Source organism: Homo sapiens, chromosome 10 (genome assembly GCF_000001405.40).
Source record: "Homo sapiens chromosome 10, GRCh38.p14 Primary Assembly".
In the NCBI taxonomy this organism is placed as follows: Eukaryota; Metazoa; Chordata; class Mammalia; order Primates; family Hominidae; genus Homo; species Homo sapiens.
The window spans coordinates 97,480,617-97,499,342 of NC_000010.11; the positions used below are offsets into that span (position 1 = coordinate 97,480,617).

The 18,726-nt window shown below is 44.6% G+C and overlaps 2 protein-coding genes across 22 annotated transcripts in view, besides 4 other annotated features; one reads left to right on the forward strand and one right to left on the reverse strand.

The window, feature by feature from the left end:
* MMS19 (MMS19 cytosolic iron-sulfur assembly component) overlaps positions 1-18,178 on the reverse strand; it is a 40,471-nt gene extending 22,293 nt beyond the window's left edge. For 15 of the 21 annotated variants that reach the window (XM_047425623.1, XM_047425622.1, XM_017016518.3 and 12 more), the window contains exons 1-3: positions 17,657-17,806; positions 3,487-3,535; positions 326-426 (exon numbers count right to left, since the gene is read on the reverse strand). In XM_047425623.1, the coding sequence (XP_047281579.1) occupies positions 326-426; positions 3,487-3,535; positions 17,657-17,768 (262 nt within the window). In that variant the 5' untranslated portion in view covers positions 17,769-17,806. Of the gene's footprint in view, positions 1-278; positions 427-3,486; positions 3,536-17,656; positions 17,807-18,079 lie in introns of those variants that run through there. The other 6 variants (NM_001289404.2, NM_001351358.2, NM_001351359.2 and 3 more) reach the window with 4 other exon arrangements.
* Positions 16,931-17,461: an enhancer, noted in NCBI's record as "NANOG-H3K27ac-H3K4me1 hESC enhancer chr10:99257304-99257834 (GRCh37/hg19 assembly coordinates)". NCBI's record gives its function as "activates a minimal SCP1, AML or CMV promoter by ChIP-STARR-seq in naive and primed H9 embryonic stem cells {active_cell/tissue: H9 hESC(naive and primed)}" and the evidence as "EXISTENCE:reporter gene assay evidence [ECO:0000049][PMID:30033119]".
* Positions 17,138-17,187: an enhancer, noted in NCBI's record as "active region_3851". NCBI's record gives its function as "activates an Ori minimal core promoter by ATAC-STARR-seq in GM12878 lymphoblastoid cells {active_cell/tissue: GM12878}" and the evidence as "EXISTENCE:reporter gene assay evidence [ECO:0000049][PMID:35858748]".
* Positions 17,548-17,717: an enhancer, noted in NCBI's record as "active region_3852". NCBI's record gives its function as "activates an Ori minimal core promoter by ATAC-STARR-seq in GM12878 lymphoblastoid cells {active_cell/tissue: GM12878}" and the evidence as "EXISTENCE:reporter gene assay evidence [ECO:0000049][PMID:35858748]".
* Positions 17,958-18,717: a silencer, noted in NCBI's record as "silent region_2679". NCBI's record gives its function as "represses an Ori minimal core promoter by ATAC-STARR-seq in GM12878 lymphoblastoid cells {active_cell/tissue: GM12878}" and the evidence as "EXISTENCE:reporter gene assay evidence [ECO:0000049][PMID:35858748]".
* Positions 18,308-18,726, forward strand: part of UBTD1 (ubiquitin domain containing 1) — a 72,283-nt gene continuing 71,864 nt past the window's right edge. The window contains exon 1 of the mRNA NM_024954.5: positions 18,308-18,657. Coding sequence (NP_079230.1) covers positions 18,588-18,657 — 70 coding nt within the window. The 5' untranslated portion in view covers positions 18,308-18,587. The remainder of the gene's footprint in view (positions 18,658-18,726) is intronic.

Here is an 18,726-nt window from a genome sequence, read left to right on the forward strand (position 1 = left end):
TGTCATCCAGGCTGGAGTTCAGTGGCGTGATCTCGGCTCACTGCAACTTCCATCTCCTGGGTTCAAGCGATTCCTGCCTCAGCCACCCAAGTAGCTGCAGGCGCCCAACACCATGCCCAGCTAACGTTTTATATTGAAATCCATGTGTCTTGTGTCTCAATTCTAATCATCTCTGCCACATATACCAGTGAGGAATGAAGACCTTGAATTAGTAGTTCATAGATACTTTAAGCCCTCCCTCCCTGCCTGTAAAGTTGGCTTGAATAGACATGGGAGACCTGGGCTCAGCAATCCAGGAAGACATTCCTATTAGTGACACCAGTACCTTCCTTCTCCAGGAGCAAGGTGTGACAGTGGAGTAGCACCTGTGACAAAAGCTGGATTGCTCGTGCCCGAGTTCGGGGTTCTGGATTCTCTAGAGAGGACCTAGGGGAAAACAGGATAGAGAGAACCTGCAATTACCCAGTTCAAATGTTTGAAGAAATAAACATTTTACATTAGTCACACTCACCCCCTGGGCATGGAAGCAGAGCCAAGCCCTGTTAAGAGTAAAAACAGCCCAGGAAGGTGTTCCTGAGGTAACGGCATTACAGATACCAGTAAGGACAGAAGGCTTAAGAGCGATCCTCAGACTGAAGTGGCATCATTTAGAGGCACACGTGACACCAAGAGCCAACAGAGGTTTCTGCCTCCAGGTACCCCAGTTTGGCACCTAATAAGCACTGTGCTTACTCTTTCTCCCCAGTGGTATGATTGTGACATTCCTCTGAAATACAGCTTAGCAGCTACCCACAGGGTTTGAGAGATGATTGGCAGCTGCAGCTTCCACCAAAACAAGGAGAATACGTGTATTTCTGTAAATTAATGCTAAGGAAAAAAAATTGCTCAGAATCACCACCAAGTTCCTAGAGTAAAAGAAAACATGAAAAACCAAAACTTTATAACTGGAAGGTTACAAAGTAAGAGGGCCAGAATATAGCTTTAACTAGTTAACTAGGTAGGATTATTGATATAGGAGAAGCTGGACTGAAGCAACAAGGAAGTGACTTATCCTCAAAATTGCTCTACGGAGATTATACTGAAACATACTAGAAATAATCTAAGCAGCAACAAGCAGAAAGTGGAAGAGTTCTGGCCATGACAGTTGTATTGAACCTCAAGGGTAAGAGTGTATATAACTCAGAGTAAGGGGAAAAAAATAAGGTCACTCTTAACAGGATCCCCAGGATAAAAACCTGTAGAAAGGTTTCTACTCAGGAAGTAGAAAACTGTGCATTCAGGTTGGGTGTGGTGGCTCACACCTGTAATCCCAGAATTTTGGGAGACAGACGAGAGGATCACTTGAGCCCGGCAGTCGTGACCAGCCTGGGCAACATAGTGGGACCCTGTCTCTACAAAAAATACAAAAACTTAGCTGGGCATGGTGGCACAAGCCTGTAGTCCCAGCTACTTGGGAGGCTGAGGTGGGTGGATGGCTTGGGCCCAGGAGATCGAGGCTGCAGTGGGCCATGATCGCTCCACTGCACTCTAGCTCGATTAACAGAGTGAGACCCTGTCTCAAAGAAAAAGAAAAAAAGAAAATTATGCATTTGGAGCATTTAAAAATGGAACAAGGCACACAAATGCTCATAGCAGCATTATTAGGAATAGCCAAAAAGTGGAAACAATCCAGATGTCCGTCCACTGATAAATGATTAAATAATATGCATATCCATAAAACGGGAATATTATTCAGCAAGAAAAGAAATGCAGAACTGATGTGTGCTGCAACATGGATGAACCCCAAAAACATGCTAAGTGAAAGAAGCTGGCAACAAAGGTCACGTGTGTGATTCCATTTATATGACATTTCCAGAGTAGGCAAAGCCATAGAAGACAGAAAGTAGATTAGTGATTGCTGGGGGTTGGGAAGAAGAGGGAAGGGGAAATGACTGCTAATGGGCATGGGTTTCTTTCTGGAGTAATGAAAATGTCCTCAAAATGACTGTGCTGAGAATTGCACAAATCTGTAAATATACTTTTACAAGCCACAGAATTGTACATTTTAAAATGGTGAACTTTATGATATGTGAATCATACATCAATAAGGCTGTGTGTGTGTGTGTGTGTGTGTATATATATACACACACACACACACACACACACACACACATATATTTTTTGAGATGGACTCTCACTCTGTCACCCAGGCTGGAGTGCAGTGGCGTAATCTCAGCTCACTGCAAGCTCCGCCTCGCGGGTTCACCCCATCCTCCTACCTCAGCCTCCCAAGTAGCTGGAACTACAGGCGCCCGCCACCATGCCCGGCTAATTTTTTGTATTTTTAGTAGAGATGGGGTTTCACCGTGCTAGCCAGGATGGTCTCGATCTCCTGACCTCATGATCCGCCCACCTCGGCCTCCCAAACTGCTGGGATTACAGGCATGAGCCACCGCACCTGGCCTATATATATTTTTTGATGGGGGTCTCACTCTGTCACCTGGGTTGGAATGCAGTGGCATGACCTGTTTACCACAACCTCCACCTCCCAGACTCCAGTGATCCTCCCACCTCAGCCTTCCGGGTAGCTGGGACCACAGGCGCATGCCACCACGCCTAGCTAATTTTTTGTATTTTTGGTAGAGACAGGGTTTCACCTTGTTGCCCAGGCTGGTCTTAAACTCCTGAGCTCAGGCAATCCACCTTCTTCGGCCTCTCAAAGTGCTGGGATCACAGGTATGAGCCACTGCACCCAGCCAATACTGTATATATTTTTTTTAATGGACCAAGGCCACCACAATGTGAGCAGAAAGGTCAAATAGTCTGTTATGTGGGAGAAATGTGTAACAGTGACTTTGTTTTTTAATTTCCCCCAGTTTTCTAGTTTTCTGTTTTAGAAGACATGCTGTCACAATTAACAACTCTTACTAATAAGACTTGTCAATTTAAATGGTCTATACCAATTATGAAATACGAGGAAAGTAGGCATTAGACTACAAGCACGTACTTCCTCTAAGTGCTTAGAATCCCAAGCTGTAACACTGCTTTATCAGCTGTTTCCCAAAGCCTTTCCTCCTAGTAGGGATCTGCAGCAGGGTCAGCCTCCTGGGAACTCCCCACACAGGGCCCACAGCTTGTTCTGAGTCAGGTCTAGGCAGGCTAGCATCCCATGGAGGTAGGTGGGTCTACAGATGCACAAAGGAATCAACAACAGCTGATGGCCTTCAACCACGTACCTCATCCCAAAGCCATGGGCTGTGCCAGGAGTTGATGTGGCCTACAGGCTGTGTGCTCCCAAATACTAAAGAAGCCTCAGCCAGACAGCATGAAACTTTTTTCAGGAGAAACAATTCAAACATATAGGCTTAGACTGAGGTACTAATATGGAAGGGGGCTGCTGGGCTACAAGACAAATTCAGGCTCCAGGAAAGCAGCAATGCGCAAAAGTAACTTTTCAGAATACACAGTCAGGGTTGGAGAAGAACATTCTATAGCAGAGGCTCTTACCCAAGGGCTTCCACAACTTGTAACACTGTATAGTTGCCAGATTTCACATCTGCAGGAAATAAAATAAATAAATATGAAAAATAAAAAAAAAACCTACCAAAGGGTTGAATAACACTAATTATAATGTTTCCTGCCTGCCCTAGGCTTTGTACCTGGGGGCCCACTATATTTGCCAAGAGCCCTCCTAGATGAGAAGCAGCATTGCTGTAACACTTCAAATATGCAGCTTTGTATAAAAATTGAAAAGAAAATAAATATATCATTTGTGAATGACATGAGCGTATATCCTGAAAATCCAAGAGAAATAAAAAAATCACAAACAAAATAATTTGTTAAATTAGCTGGATACAAAATATTATGAAATTTAAAACCTTCATATATATACATATACACAATAGCCTGTAAAATGATATAAGGAAAAAGACCCTGTTTATAATAGCGAAAAAAGAAAAACCAAAAAAATACCTGGATATAAACTTTTTCACTCATTTTTAAAAATCATGGTAAAATACACTACATAAAAACTTTTGTTTTGGCCGGGTGTGGTGGCTCATGTCTGTAATCCCAGCACTTTGGGAGGCGAGGTGGGCAGATCACGAGGTCAGGAGATCGAGACCATCCTGGCTAACACGGTGAAACCCTGTCTCTATTAAAAATACAAAAAATTAGCCAGGCGTGGTGGCATGTGCCTGTGGTCCCAGCTACTCAGAAGGCTGAGGCAGGAGAATCACTTGAACCCTGGAGTGCAGTGGTATAATCACAGCCTCCCAGGCTCAGGTGATCCTCCCACCTCAGCCTCCCCAGTAGCTGGGACCAAAGGCATGTGCCACTACCCCTGGCTAAGTATTTTGTATTTCTTTGTAGAGATGGGTTTCACCATGTTGCTGGTCTTGAACTCATGGGCTCAAATGATCCTCCCATCTCAGTCTCCCAAAGTGCTGGGATTACAGATGTGAGCCACTGCGTGCGACCTAGACATAAACTTAATAAAAAATGTGAAAATCTGAATGATGAAAACTTTATTTTATTTATTTATTTATTTTTGAGATGGAGTTCGCCTTTGTCACCCAGGCTAGAGTGCAATGGTGTGATCTCGGCTTGCTGCAACCTCCACCTCCTGGGTTCAAGCGATTCTCCTGCCTCAGCCTCCCGAGTACCTGGAATTACAGGTGCCTGCCACCACGCCTGGCTAATTTTTGTATTTTCTTTTCTTTTTCTTCTTTTTTTGAGATGGAGTCTTGCTCTCGTTACCCAGGCTGGAGTGCAATGGTATGATCTTGGCTCACTGCAACCTCCGCCTCCCGGGTTCAAGCAATTCTTCTGCCTCAGTCTCCCAAGTAGCTGGGATTACAGGTGCCCACCACCACGCCTGGCTAATTTTTGTATTTTCAGTAGAGATGGGGTTTTGCCATGTTGGCCAGGCTGGTTTTGAACTCCTGACCTCGTGATCCGCCCGCCTTGGCCTCCCAAAGTGCTGGGATTACAGGCATGAGCCACTGCACCTGGCCCTAATTTTTGTATTTTTAGTAGAGATAGGGCTTTACAATGTTGGCCAGGCTGGTGTTGAACTCCTGACCTCAGGTGATCCACCCGCCTCTGCCTCCCAAATTGCTGGGATTACAGGCATAAGCCACCGCACCTAGACGATGAAAATTTTAAAGCACTAGTGAGATATCACTTCATACCTGCTAGGATGGCTATTATCAAAAAGACAAGAGATAACAAGTGCTGGTGAAGAGAGAGAGAAAAGGTAACCTTTGTACACTGTTGGTGGGAATGTAAATTAGTACAGCCATTATGGAAAACAGCATGGAGGTTTCTTAAAAAATTAAAAATAGAACTACTATATGACCCAACAATCCCACTACTAGGTACATATCCAAAGGAAATGAAATCAGTATCTGTAGAGATGTCTGTACTCCCATGTTCACTGCAGCATTATTCACAGTAGCCAAGATCTGGTAGCAACCTAAGTGTCAACAGATAAATCAATAAAGAAAATGTGACGTGTGTGTACACATATACAACAGAATACTATTCAGCTATAAGAAAGAAAGAAATCTTACCACTTGGTGTTTTTTGTTTGTTTGTTTTTTTCTGAGACAGGGTCTCTCTGTCACCCAGGCTGGAGTGCAGTGGTGTGATCCCAGCTCACTGCAACCTCCACTTCTCTGTTTCAAGCAATTCTCCTGTCTCAGCCACCCAAGTAGCTGGGATTACAGGCGCATGCCACCATGCCTGGCTAATTTTTATTTTTTAGTAGAGATGGGGTTTCGCCATGTTGGCCAGGCTGGTCTTGAACTACTGACCTCAGGTGATCCGCCCACTTCAACCTCTGAAAGTGCTGGGATTGCAGGCGTGAGCCACTGTGCCAGGCCAAAATCCTGCCACTTGGGACAACACAAATGAACCTGGGTGAACATCTTGCTAAGTGAAGTAAGCCAGAAGAGAAAGACAAATACAGTATCCTATGATCTCACTTATATGGAGAATCTAAAAAAGTTTAATTCACAAAAGCAGAGAGTAGAATGGTGGCTGCAAAGTACAGAAGAAAATGGGGAGAAATTGGTAAAAGCGTTTTTTAAAACAAGCACTAATGAAGATCTGAAAAGGAAACTTTATAGAAAGGCATCTCATATCTTTGAAAGACTCAAGATGACAAATTTCCCAAATCAATCTGTAATTTTAAGATAATCGCCATAAAAACACTAACAGAATACTTTTGGAAACTAGATAAGCTTATCCTGAAATTAAAGTGCCATATATATATATATATATATATATATATATATAAAATTAAGACAGGCAAGTTGTGAAAAGGAGTAATAGAAAATCAGGGAGAAGGTAGCCCTTCCAGATATTAAGAGATTATTATATGGTCACATTTTAAAAGTGTACACTTTCAACAAAAAAAAGAAAAATAAAAAGTATACACTTTTGAATATACTTGTAATTTTCCATAATAAAAATAAAAAACAACCAGTGCAGTTTCAATTCATATTCAAAGAAATCAGTGGTGCAAAAATAGAATGGAAAGTCCAGAGACACAAATACATATGAGAATATGATTTTTAAAATCCTATTTCAGTTAATGGGAAAAATAAAGACTATTCAATAGTGTTAGAATGATTGTCCTGGAACCAATTTGGAAAACAAACAAAAACATTGGCTTTAAATCTTTCACCAAAATATGTTTTTTAAATATGAGAAAATTTCTTTTTTTTTTTTTTTTTTGAGACAGAATCTCGCTCTTTCGCCCAGGCCAGAGTGCGGTGGCGCGATCTCGGCTCACTGCAAGCTCCGCCTCCCGGGTTCATGCCATTCTCCTGCCTCAGCCTCCTGAGTAGCTGGGACTACAGGCGCCCACCACCACACCCGGCTAATTTTTTTGTATTTTTAGTAGAGATGGGGTTTCACCGTGTTAGCCAGGATGGTCTCGATCTCCTGACCTCATGATCTGCTGGCCTTGGCCTCCCAAAGTGCTGGGATTACAGGCGTGAGCCACCGCGCCTGGCCTAAATATGAGAAAATTTCTAAGAACAAGATAACATTCAGAAGCCCTAAAAGATTGGTTTTAAAAAGTCAGATTTTCTACAAGGCAAAAATAATGATCATAGGACAAACTGGGAAAAAAAATTACAAGTCTTATAACAAAAGGCCAGTTTCCCGATATATAAAGAGTTCCCACAAATCAATGCAGAAAAGGGCAACAATTTAAAATGGGCAAAAACAGGCTGGGCACAGTGGCTCATGCCTGTAATCCCAACACTTTGGGAGGCCAAGGCAGGTAGATTGCTTGAGGCCAGGAGTTTGAGACCAGCCTAGCCAACATGGCAAAACATGTGTGTGGTGGCGCATGCCTGTAAATCCCAGCTACTCGGGAGGCTGAGGGACAAGAATCACTTGATTCCGGGAGGCAGAGGTTGCAGTGAGCCGAGATCGTGCCACTGCACTCCAGCCTGGGTGACAGAGTGACGATCTGTCTCAAAATAAATAAATAAATAAAATTAAAAAAACAAAATGGGCAAAAACAAAAAAATGAACAGGCATTCCACATAAAAGGAACTACAAGTATGTACGAAAAGGTGCTCAACCATATTTACAATAAAAGATGTAAATTAAACTACACAGAAACTTTTTAAGAAAATCTAACAGACTGGCAAAGACAAAAAACTTAGCAATATATTATGTTTGGTCATGATATTCAGAAACAGACATTCTTAAACATTGTAGGTAGGATTATAAACTGGTGCAACCCTATATTGAGGGCAATATAACATCTTTAGAATTCCAGGTACATATAGGCTTTAACCCAGGAAAGCTAGAAGTTTATCCTCTAGCTATCTAGTCATCTTTTGGTATATACATGAGAGACTGGCTCCAGGACCTCCTGAGGATACTAAAATCTGTGGATGCTCAAGACCCTTATATAAAATGGTAAGAGTATTTGCATACAAACTATGGACACTCTCCTGTATACTTTAAATCATCTCTAGATTACTCATAATACTTAATACAATCTAAGTGCTACGCAAATAGTTGTTACATTGTATTGTTTAGTGAATAATGACAGGAAAAAAGTCTATACATGTTTGGTACAGTTGCTATTTTTTCCCCCAAATACTTTTGACCTGCAGTTGCTTGAATCAAGGATGCAGAACACACAGATATGGAGGGCTAACTGTACTGTGAAAGTGCAAAATAATGCATGTATAACGTTATTCAATACAGCATTATTCGTAACAGTAAATGACTGCAAACAACACATGCCCATCAATAAGAAACCAGTTAAATGAATTATAGTACATCCATACAATGGAATTCTCTGTAGCTACTTTTATTTATTTTTTAATCTTTTTTATTTTTATTTTTTGAGACAGCATCCTGCTCTGTTGCCCAGGCTGGATTGTATTTTTAGTAGAGATGGGGCTTTTGCCATGTTGCCTATGGCTGGTCTCGAACTCCTGAGCTCAAGTGATCCGCCTGCCTTGGCCTCCCAAAGTGCTGAGATTACAGACATGAGCCAACACACCGGGCCTGTAGCTACTTTTAAAAAGACAAATGAAGAAAGACTGAAGCTACATATATACTGATAATGAGTCAAGATCTAAAATAACAGTGTGTATAAACAGTGTATATAATATGTGCGTAGCATTGTTTTTAAAGGGAGGGGGGATTGTTTTTATTTGCATTTATTTACATCTCTGGAAGATATAAAAGGAACTAATAACATTTGTTGCCTTCAGGGAGGGAAAATGCATAGTTAAGGGTTGAGAGGTAGACTATTGTTTTAAAAGAAATATTTCATTTTGGAATAATTTTACATTTATAGCAAAGTTGCAATGACAGTGCGGAGTTCCCGTATAGCCATCACTCGGTTTCTCTTAATGTTAACGTCTTACATGGCACACATCTGTGAAACTATGTACGAGTGTCAAAACTAAGAGATTAGGTTAGCACTGATACACACTATTAACTAAACTCTAGGCTTTATTCAGATTTCAATAGTTTCTCCACTAATGCCAAATTTCTGTTCCAGGATCCAATTAAGAATACCAAATTGCAGTTAGTCATCTTGAATTCTTAGTCTCTCCTGGTCTGTGAAAGTTTCTTAGTCTTTCCTTGTTTTTCATGACCTTGATAGTTTTAAAGAAGTACTTTATAGAAGGTTCCCCAATTTGCATTTGTTTGATGTTTCCCTCATGTTTAGACTGGGGTTATGGGTTTTAAAAAAGAATATCACAGAGGTGAAGTACCCTTCTCAACATATCATATCAGGGATATAAGATAGTAACATGGCTTCTCCATCACTGGCAATGTTAATGTTTATCACTTGGTTAAGGTATGTCTGCCAGGTCTCTGCACTATAGTTACTACTTTTCTCTTTCTGGTACTCTTTTATTTGTAAGGTATTCATTAAGTCCAGCTCACATTCAGTGGGGAGGGGAAGATTAAACTCCACCTCCTGGAGGGAGGAGTATCTACCTATATTATTTGGATTTTTTTTTTGAGGCAGGGTCTAGCTCTGTGCAGTAGTACAATCATGGCTCACTGCAGCCTCGACTTCCCAGGCTCAAGTGATCCTCTCACCTCAGCCTCCCGAGTAGCTGGGACTACAGGCATGCACCACCATGCCCGCCTAATTTTTGTATTTTTTTGTAGGGACAGGGTTTTGCCATGTTGCCCAGGCTGGTCTCAAATTCCTGGGCTCAAGTGATCCACCCACCTTGACCTCTCAAAGTGCTGGGACTACAGATGTGAGCCACTGCACCTGGCCTTTAAATGCAATTTTAGCAGCACAATAGTAACTCACATATATTGAAGAGAAGCATCTTAGAATGTATTTTCAAGGGAGAAACAGGGTAAAAGGCTAACAATCTTCATAAGGCTTTGGTTCACATTGAACACTTATAGCTAAATAAGGTGTGACAACCAGAGAATTACTTCCAGCAGCCTGTTCTGGGTTCCTAATCCACCTACCTCTAAATGCAGAACCTTAACTAGTCAGCTTGTGCCAATGCTGGAAAAAGTGAAAGAGAGGTCTGAAGAAATCCTAAACTTCCAGTTCTCCTAAAGTCTGTGGTCTCACAGCAACAGTTATGAGCTGACCTGGGCAGAGGCTCACTCTAGCACCACAGTAAGAAGTCGTCCAATGAGACTGAGGAAAATGAGAGCTCTAGTTAGGACTTATAGCTCGTGACTGGCACCAATTTAGACATCAGGCACTCTTAGCCCACTTGTGCCAGGATGTGGAAGGCCCAGCTGCTGCCCCAGCTCCTGAGAAAGAGCCAAGGGAAAAAATGAGCAGACTGTAAGGGTGGGGGAAGGGGTAGCAGCCAGACTAACAGGCCAAACAAACCAAGTTGGGTTCTATACCCAATTCCTTAATGGCAACACTTACATGAACTGAAACACCTATTTCTGGGTTACGAACCACAAAAGGGCATTGCAACATTTGGGAAGGTAGAAAAGGGTACTTTCTTGGAACAGCCTGGCTATAGTACAGAAAACTCTGCTGAAACAACCCATCTAAAAACTAATTTCAATAATGGGCACAGAAGGAGTTAATAATTGTACAGATGAAGCCATAGGGGACTAACAACTGTTAATAGCAAAGGATATCAATGAACTGAATCATTTTTCTTCAGCAATACCATCAAAACCCTCTGTGGATGTCAGGCTAGGGTCTATATTTGGAACGAAGGCTCTAAGACAAGAAGTGCCAAATAGGGCCCATTCAGTACCTTCTATTTTTTCATTTTTTTAAAAAAATTGAGGTAAAGGCCGGGCGTGGTGGCTCACGCCTATAATCCCAGCACTCTGGGAGGACGAGGTGGGTGGATCATGAGGTCAGGAGATCGAGACCAGTCTGGCCAATATGGTGAAACCCCATCTCTACCAAAAATTAAAAAATTAGCTGGGTGTAGTGGCATGCGCCTGTAGTCCCAGCTACTCAGGAGACTGAGGCAGAAGAATTGCTTGAACCTGGGAGGCAGAGGTTGCAGTGAGCCGAAATCACGCCTGGGCGATAGAGCGAGACTCCGTCTCAAAGAAAAAAAAAGAAAAATGCTTCTTTGGCATTCTGCATACATTAATATGAAAATGGCTGCTTTATAATTACAAATAAATAGCCATTTGCATGTGGTTCCTTGAATCCCAGTATGTGGGTGAACTCTCCTGGCAAAGCCCTTTAGTCTTCATATAGCTTTCACAAAATTCTTGAATTAATGCAGCACAAACATAAAAGTGACTATAAGGCCGGGCACGGTGGCTCATGCCAGTAATCCTAGTACTCTGGGAGGCCGAGGTGGGTGGATCACCTCAGGTCAGGAGTTTGAGACCAGTCTGGCCAACGTGGCAAAAACCTGTCTCTACTAACACAAAAACTAGCCGGGTGTGGTAGCGCATGCCTGTAATCCTAGCTACTCCGAAGGCTGAGGCAGGAGAATCACCTGAACCTGGGAGGCAGAGTTTGCAATGAGCTGAGATCATGCCATTGCACTCCAGCCTGGGCTACAGAGTGAAACTCAATCTAAAAAAAAAAAAAAAAAAAAGTATAAAAGTAGAAAAAATTAGAGAAAAATGAGGCCGGGCGCGGTGGTTCACGCCTGTAATCCCAGCACTTTGGGAGGCCGAGGCGGGCGGATCACGAGGTCAGGAGATTGAGACCATCCTGGTTAACACAGTGAAACCCTGTCTCTACTAAAAAAAAATACAAAAATATTAGCTGGGCGTGGTGGCGGGCGCCTGTAGTCCCAGCTACTTGGGAGGCTGAGGTAGGAGAATGGTGTGATCCCAGGAGGCAGAGCTTGCAGTGAGTGGAGACGGAGCCACTGCACTCCCACCTGGGCGACTGAGTGAGACTCTGTCTCAAAAAAAAAAGAAAAGAAAAGAAAGAAAAAATTAGAGAAAAATGAGATAATAAAGCTATTACAAGACCGTAAAAAAAAGTAAGGAAGATGGTGGCCAGGCATGGTGGCTCACACCTGTAATCCTTGCACTTTGGGAGGCCGAGGCAGGTGGATTACTTGAGGTTAGGAGTTTGAGACCAGCCTGGCCAACATGATGAAACCCTGTTTCTACTAAAAAAAAAAAAAAATAGAAAAATTAGCTGTCCATGATGGCATGGGCCTGTAATCCTAGCTGTTTCGGAGGCTGAGGCAGAAGAGTCATTTGAACCCAGGAGGCTAAAGTTGCAGTGAGCCAAGATCGCGCCACTGCACACCAGCCTGGGCAACAGAGCAAGACTTCATCTCCCAAAAAAAAAAAAAAAAAAGCCATATGTTCGTTTTCATTCAACATTTACTGAATATTATAAATAGGGTACCATGTTAGGGCTTAAGATAGAAATATGGGCAGGGAGTTTTGGGGAAGTCCATAGTCTGTTGGAGCAGAAAGACAAACATTCATTCATTTATTCATTTTTGAGACAGAGTCTTGCTCTGTCACCCAGGCTGGAGTGCAGTGGTGCCATCTTTGGCTCAATGTAACCTCTCCCTCCAGGGTTCAAGTGATTCTCCTACCTCAGCCTCCCAAGTGGCTGCGACTACAGGCACACCACCATGCTGGGCTGATTTTTAAAGATTTTTGTAGAGACAAGGTCTCACTATACTGTACAGGCTGGTTTCGAATTCTTGGGCCCAAGCAATCCTCCCACCTCAGCCTCCCAAAGTGCTGGGATTACAGGCATGAACCACCATGCCTAGCCCAGAAAGACATTTAAAACAATCACAGTAGGCTGAGGCTAGAGGATCGCTAGAGGTCAGGAGTTGGAGACCACCTTGGGCAACAAAACAAGGCCCTGTTCGCTACAAAAAAATTAGCCAGGTGTGGTGGCACGGGCCTGTAGTCTCAGCTACTCTGGAGGCTGAGGCCAGAGGATCACTTGAGCCCAGAAGTTCTTCGAGGTCACACTGCACTCCAGCTGGGGCAACAGAGTGGACCCTGCTTCTAAAATAAATAAATAAAACAATCACAGTGTAACAAGTTCTGTGTTACCACAGTGATATAAACAGAGATTGGGTTGGCATGAGAAAGAAGTAAAATTCCTGGGTTTATGGACCATGGGCCACTAACTTTAAGTGATTAATTCTTTTAATGGTGCAAATTATCCAAAATTAAAAATAACCAGGGTTGGCATGGTGGTTCACACCTGTAATCTCAGCACTTTGGGAGGCCAAGGCAGGCAGATCACCTGAGGTCGGAAGTTTAGAGACTTGCCTGACCAACATGGAGAAACCCCATCTCTACTAAAAATACAAAATTAGCCGTGTGTGGTGATGCATGCTTGTGATCCCAGCTACTCGGGAGGCTGAGGCAGGAGAATCACTTGAACCTGGGGGGCAGAGGTTACGGTCAGCAGAGATCGCACCATTGCACTCCAGCCTGGGCAACAGAGCAAAACTCCATCTCAAAAGCAAACAAACAAACAACAACAACAACACACCCGTAATACCTGGAAATACTATTAATTATGCACTTGGACTCCTGGGATGAAGAAAGCTAACAGAGAGTTAATTTTCCTAACGGTATTTTCGCTGGTATCAAGGAAAAAATCAGTGTAAGTTCATTTCCCTTTATAGGAGGGTCTAAGATTTTCCAACACGTTCAAGATTTGCTCTTAAAAATGGACCTACTAGCACCTCCTAACTACCCACACTTTCCTTAGCAAGGCACCAGTTTGTGTGGGGGCACTGAGAAGTCAAAGGAGTATTCATGTGATCATTGACACAGAATGCACAAACAGATCTCTGTCTGATGGAGTTGAAGCCTCTTGAGAATCTGGACTAGCAGCCAAAGGGAAGTGAGGGGAAGCGGGTAGGGTGGGAGGATGAGAAGGAGCAGGAGAGAGAAAAATCCCAATCAGGACTAAGTTCCAATCAAGCTCTCAAAATGCCCTTTCTGCTGATAATGCCTCAGATATTTCACTAAACTGTATTTTACTGTTCTTTAATACTTTGACTTAAGGAATAGAGGTATTCTTAGGGAATCACAAACATGGAAAAACACAATACAATAAAGACTGAAATGAAGGAAAATCCAAATAACTAAAAGGAAAAAAATTATATCCATCACCTGCAAATTCAACGTGTTCAAAAATCACATTCTCTGAAAATCAGCTCTCGTCCTAATTTTGGACAAAGTATTTCTTTTCCTCATCCTCTGGTTCAAAACCTTGGGGTCTTCTTAGAGTCCTCTATCTCCTTCAAGCCCTATAATAACTAGTTAGAACTCAAATTCCACAGATTCTTCCTTCAACATTTCTCATTGCATTCACTCAAGCAGTTTTTATTGTGTACCTACTGATGCCAATTTCAGGAGATTCTGGTGGTACAACTGGGAGGGTAGGATGTGGAGATGTATACAGCAACAGCTACTAAACTAGTCCACTAAATACATGAGTGGTTGAGAAATAAGTGCGTACTACAAAGATTCTGACGTATGAGATGCTGTCTGGCTGGGTTAATCAGGAAACCCTTGGGGAGGGGTAGGGAACTCAAGCTGGGCCTTGACTCTCAGGTCTAACTTCGATTACACAGAGCTAGTGAAGGGAATTGGGAAGGAAAGCACTCAGGGAACTACGAATAAAGGTGGCTGCCTGGAATTAAACGTCCAGGGAGCAGTGAGAAAAAAAGGCTGGGGCCAGGTAGTGGCAGGCTTTGAAGGCTTGCCCAAGAGGCCTTTAACCCTTAGGCTGCCAGGTTATTTCCCTCCCATCGCCTGCAGCTTCTTTACAGCTGACACTTTCACCAGGAACCCAGGTACAAAACAAAGGTGGCAGCAGCTGCTTTTGTGATCAAAGGGTGCTCCTTCTGCATTTAAATTTGCAGGCTGCTACTCTGAGTGACTGAACAGGAAGCTAGCTGGTCCCTTTAGCGCTAACAAAGCTTGATTTAGGCTGAAAGATTAGAAAGCACATCTTATTCTATAAACGCTTCAACACTCTGTTATCCTTCAACAACCCTAACTAGGGCTGTGATCTAAGATTGACAATATTAACTTAATCCTTGTCAAATTTGTTTTCATTTTATGGCTCCCTGGCTCAAGGATCTACAACAACTCTTAGTACAGATAACAGGTCATTCAAATTTCTCTGCCTGGAATCCAAAGTTATACACAATCCAACCCTACCAAACCTTTTCAACTTTTATCTGTTACTATTCCTTTGTACCAACTTTCTTTTCTTTTTGTTTTTTTGAGACGGAGTCTCGCTCTGTTGCCCAGGCTGGAGTGCAGGGGCGCGATCTCCGCTCACGGCAGCCTCTGCCTCCCAGGCTCAAGCGATTCTCCAGCCTCAGCCTCCTGAGTAGCTGGGATTACAGGCATGCACCACCATGCCTGGCTAATTTTTGTATTTTCAGTAGAGCGGGGTTTCACCATGTTGGCCAGGCTGGTCTCAAACTCCTGGGCTCAAGCAATCCGCCTACCTTGTTCTCTCAAAGTGTTGGCATTACAGGCGTGAGCCACTGTGCCCACCACCAACTTTCTTTTCTTAGGAGGGCTAAATTACAACAGGGCTAGTGTTACAGTCTTAAATCAGTTGAGTTGAATTCAAATTAAGCAACAGTTTAGACCATTTTTTTTCAGAAAGAAACAAAAATATAAATTTTGCAAAAACGTTTGTAAGAATTTAGCAGTCCCAGTGGCTCATGCCTGTAATCCCAGCACTTCGGGAAGCTGAGATGGGAGGATGGCTTCAGTCCTGGAGTTAGAGACCAACCTAGGCAACATGGTGAAACCTCGTCACTACAATACAAAAATTAGCCGAGCGCAGTGGCACACTCCCTGTTGTCCCAGCTACTTCGGGAGGCTTGAGGCAGGAGGATTGCTTGAGCATAGGTCGAGGCTACAGTGAGCCATGATTTCACCACTGCACTCCAGCCTGGCAGACAGAGAGGGACCTTGTCTCAAAAAAAAAAAAAAAAAAAGAGAAGAATTTGCAGTCCTTATTCAAGATAAGTCCTTATTCAAGATAAGACATTCAAGATGTCTTTTCAAAATATGTTCTGAATCAAAAAAAAATCCAAAATTATTGTTTTCGTATCGCATAAATGTGAAAGACTCATCACAAATGACACTGATATAGTAATGTTCTATATCTTCGTAGGGGGTTGGATTGTATAGGTGTATGCATTAGTCAAAATCAGTGAACGTACACTTAAAGGTTTATATATTCCATTTTACATCAAAATAAACCGTCAACAAACTCTAGTCAATGACATGCATGCCAAAGTATTTAAAGGAAAGTGTACAGGTATCTGCAATTTAAATGGATGGATAGCTATATGATAAAGCAAGTAATATTAAAATGTTAATGGTAGGATAGATCCTAAGTGATGTGCTCCTTATAAAATTCTTTATACTTGGCTGGATATTCGAAAATTTTCATAATAAAATATGAGGGAAAATGACATTGGTAAGACACTGTACTTGTAAATTGTAAACACTGATAACACACTACATTTCATAAAATTGTAAGATGTTAAGTTTGGTGGCAGCACCAGGTATTTGCTCCTTGATGCTTCCAAACTACGCTGCACACACCTCTTACAGAATGGTTGCCTCTCCCAGCATACTATAAGTTCCTGGTGGGCACAGATCTAACCTAATTTGTATTTATATTCCTATTGCTTTGCATCATGTTTGGGGAATAATATGTATTCAACAATAGTGGCATGATTGAATTAAAGTGGAATACTGCTAACGAACAAAGTATTATATTTCTAGCAGATTCACTATTCTTTTCTTACATATTCTAAAGGTTAATACGCTCAATATCCAAGAGAAATGTGTCCTTACTTCTCTCCAAGCATACGAAATTTCCAAAGTTTTTTTAAAAAAACTACTCATTAGATAATTTTATATTGTTACTTAAACCCAAGATCTGAAGGCCTCCTAACATTCAATAACTTTTTAGTAGTTTTTTTTTTTTCCTAGAAGAGCAAAGTCTCAGAACTCCACGGAAGCCTGGAAATCGTTTTATTCTAATTTTAGATAAGCTGTCTGAACTAAGAGATCTCTGAACTGGTCAAAAGCAGGAAAGTGGGGGTCTGGGAAGAAGACAAAAACAAACGCCACATAAAACGTCATGGAGCAAACTAATCAAGAACTTTAGCAAGAAACGGAGAGAAAGTCTTAAGGAGGACACCCAGAACATCTCCAGCTCCTCCTGGCCCGTCTCCTCAACTCCTCTTAATTCCAGCCAGTCAGAGCGCGGGGCCATCTGCCACTCCCAGGATGCCACGCGACGGGAGCGGACGCTGCGAGGATGCACCTCCACACGTCAACCTCCCACAAACAGCATGGCTTCGTGGCGTGAGCACCCGGTTCGGACCTGAACGCCTGGGTCCGAGTCCCACCTCCCCCTCCTGCCTGGTCTGCAGCCCTGCGCAAGTCCTCTTGCCCTCGCTGAGCCTCAGTTTCCTCATCTGTAAAATGTAATGATTCCCTATAATTGGCTACAGGGAGATGAGAAGTGTAAATGGTTTTAAGGAAGACACAGGCAACTCTCTAACTTGTTACGGCTCTGAACCTCGCGGTGCTCACTAACCAGCCTTGAGACCAATCTCTCAAAGTCACCCCGCTCCTCCCTTCCCGCCCGGCGCCTGTACTGAGGCCGCTCCCTCCTGTTGGCCCCCATGCGGAAGGCGCGCGGCGCCGTCTGCCGTACCTGCAGCCACCTGGTCAGCGGGGCCCTCTTGCTGACCCACGACGAAGTCGTGCACGAGGCCCCATAGGGCACCCATAGGCGCCGCCGCCTCCACAGCCGCGGCAGCGGCCATAACGCGAACTAGAGACCGTGGGAGGGGATATGGGCGGTGGCTCGAGACGGGCTCTCCGCGCATGCGCCTCCCGAGCCAATCTCCGGGGAAGCGCAAGGGGGCGGGGCGCCGGGGTCACGTGCCTGCCGGCTTCTGCCTAGGCAGTTCCAGGGAGGGGCGGGGCCTGAAATGGGGCGGTGGCACCGAGAGGGAAGGCGGCTGCTGGGCACGCAGCCGGAGGCGATTGAGGGCGAATAATTCCCAGCCCGGCTCCCCGGGAGACGGGCTGCGGGGCGGGCACCTGGCTGGGTGGGGAGAGGGGCGGTACGCACCACGGGGGAAGCCAATGAGAAAATCAGGCCCAGCCCTAGGGGGCGGTGCTGTCGGTCACATGCGCACCTGGGGCGGGTGGTGGCGGCGGCGCGGGCACCGCGAGCCGGCGGAAGGGAGAGGGGCCGGCCTGGGGCGGGGTTAGGCAGGTGAGTGACAGGCTCCAGGGGGCCGGCCCCTGCCTGGTGCCCCGAGCGAGCCGGGAGTAGCTGCGGCGGTGCCCGCCCCCTCTCTCCGCCCCTCCAGCGGAGCTGGTCTCCGGCCGGGCACCGTCGCGGGCCCCCCTGGCCCGGCCACCTGGGACCGTGCTGGGGAGTCTGCCACTTCCCTCTCTCCCCTGGCCCGCAAAGTTTTGGCGGAGCCATCGCTGGGGCTGAGCGCGCCCCCGGGGGGAGATCGGGGAGCGCCCGATGCCGGGCGGCCGGAGCCATTGACCCGGGACGCCGCCGTCCGCTGAGCAGCCGACCACCCCGCCGCCTCCGGTGCATGGGGACTGGCTGAGGAGCCAGCATGGGCAACTGCGTGGGGAGACAGCGCCGGGAGAGGCCGGCAGCCCCGGGACACCCCCGCAAGCGAGCAGGTAACGATGGGGAAGGGAGCAGGGCCTCGGGCATCCCGCCAGTTGTCCCCCTCCTCGCCCGAGTCCTGG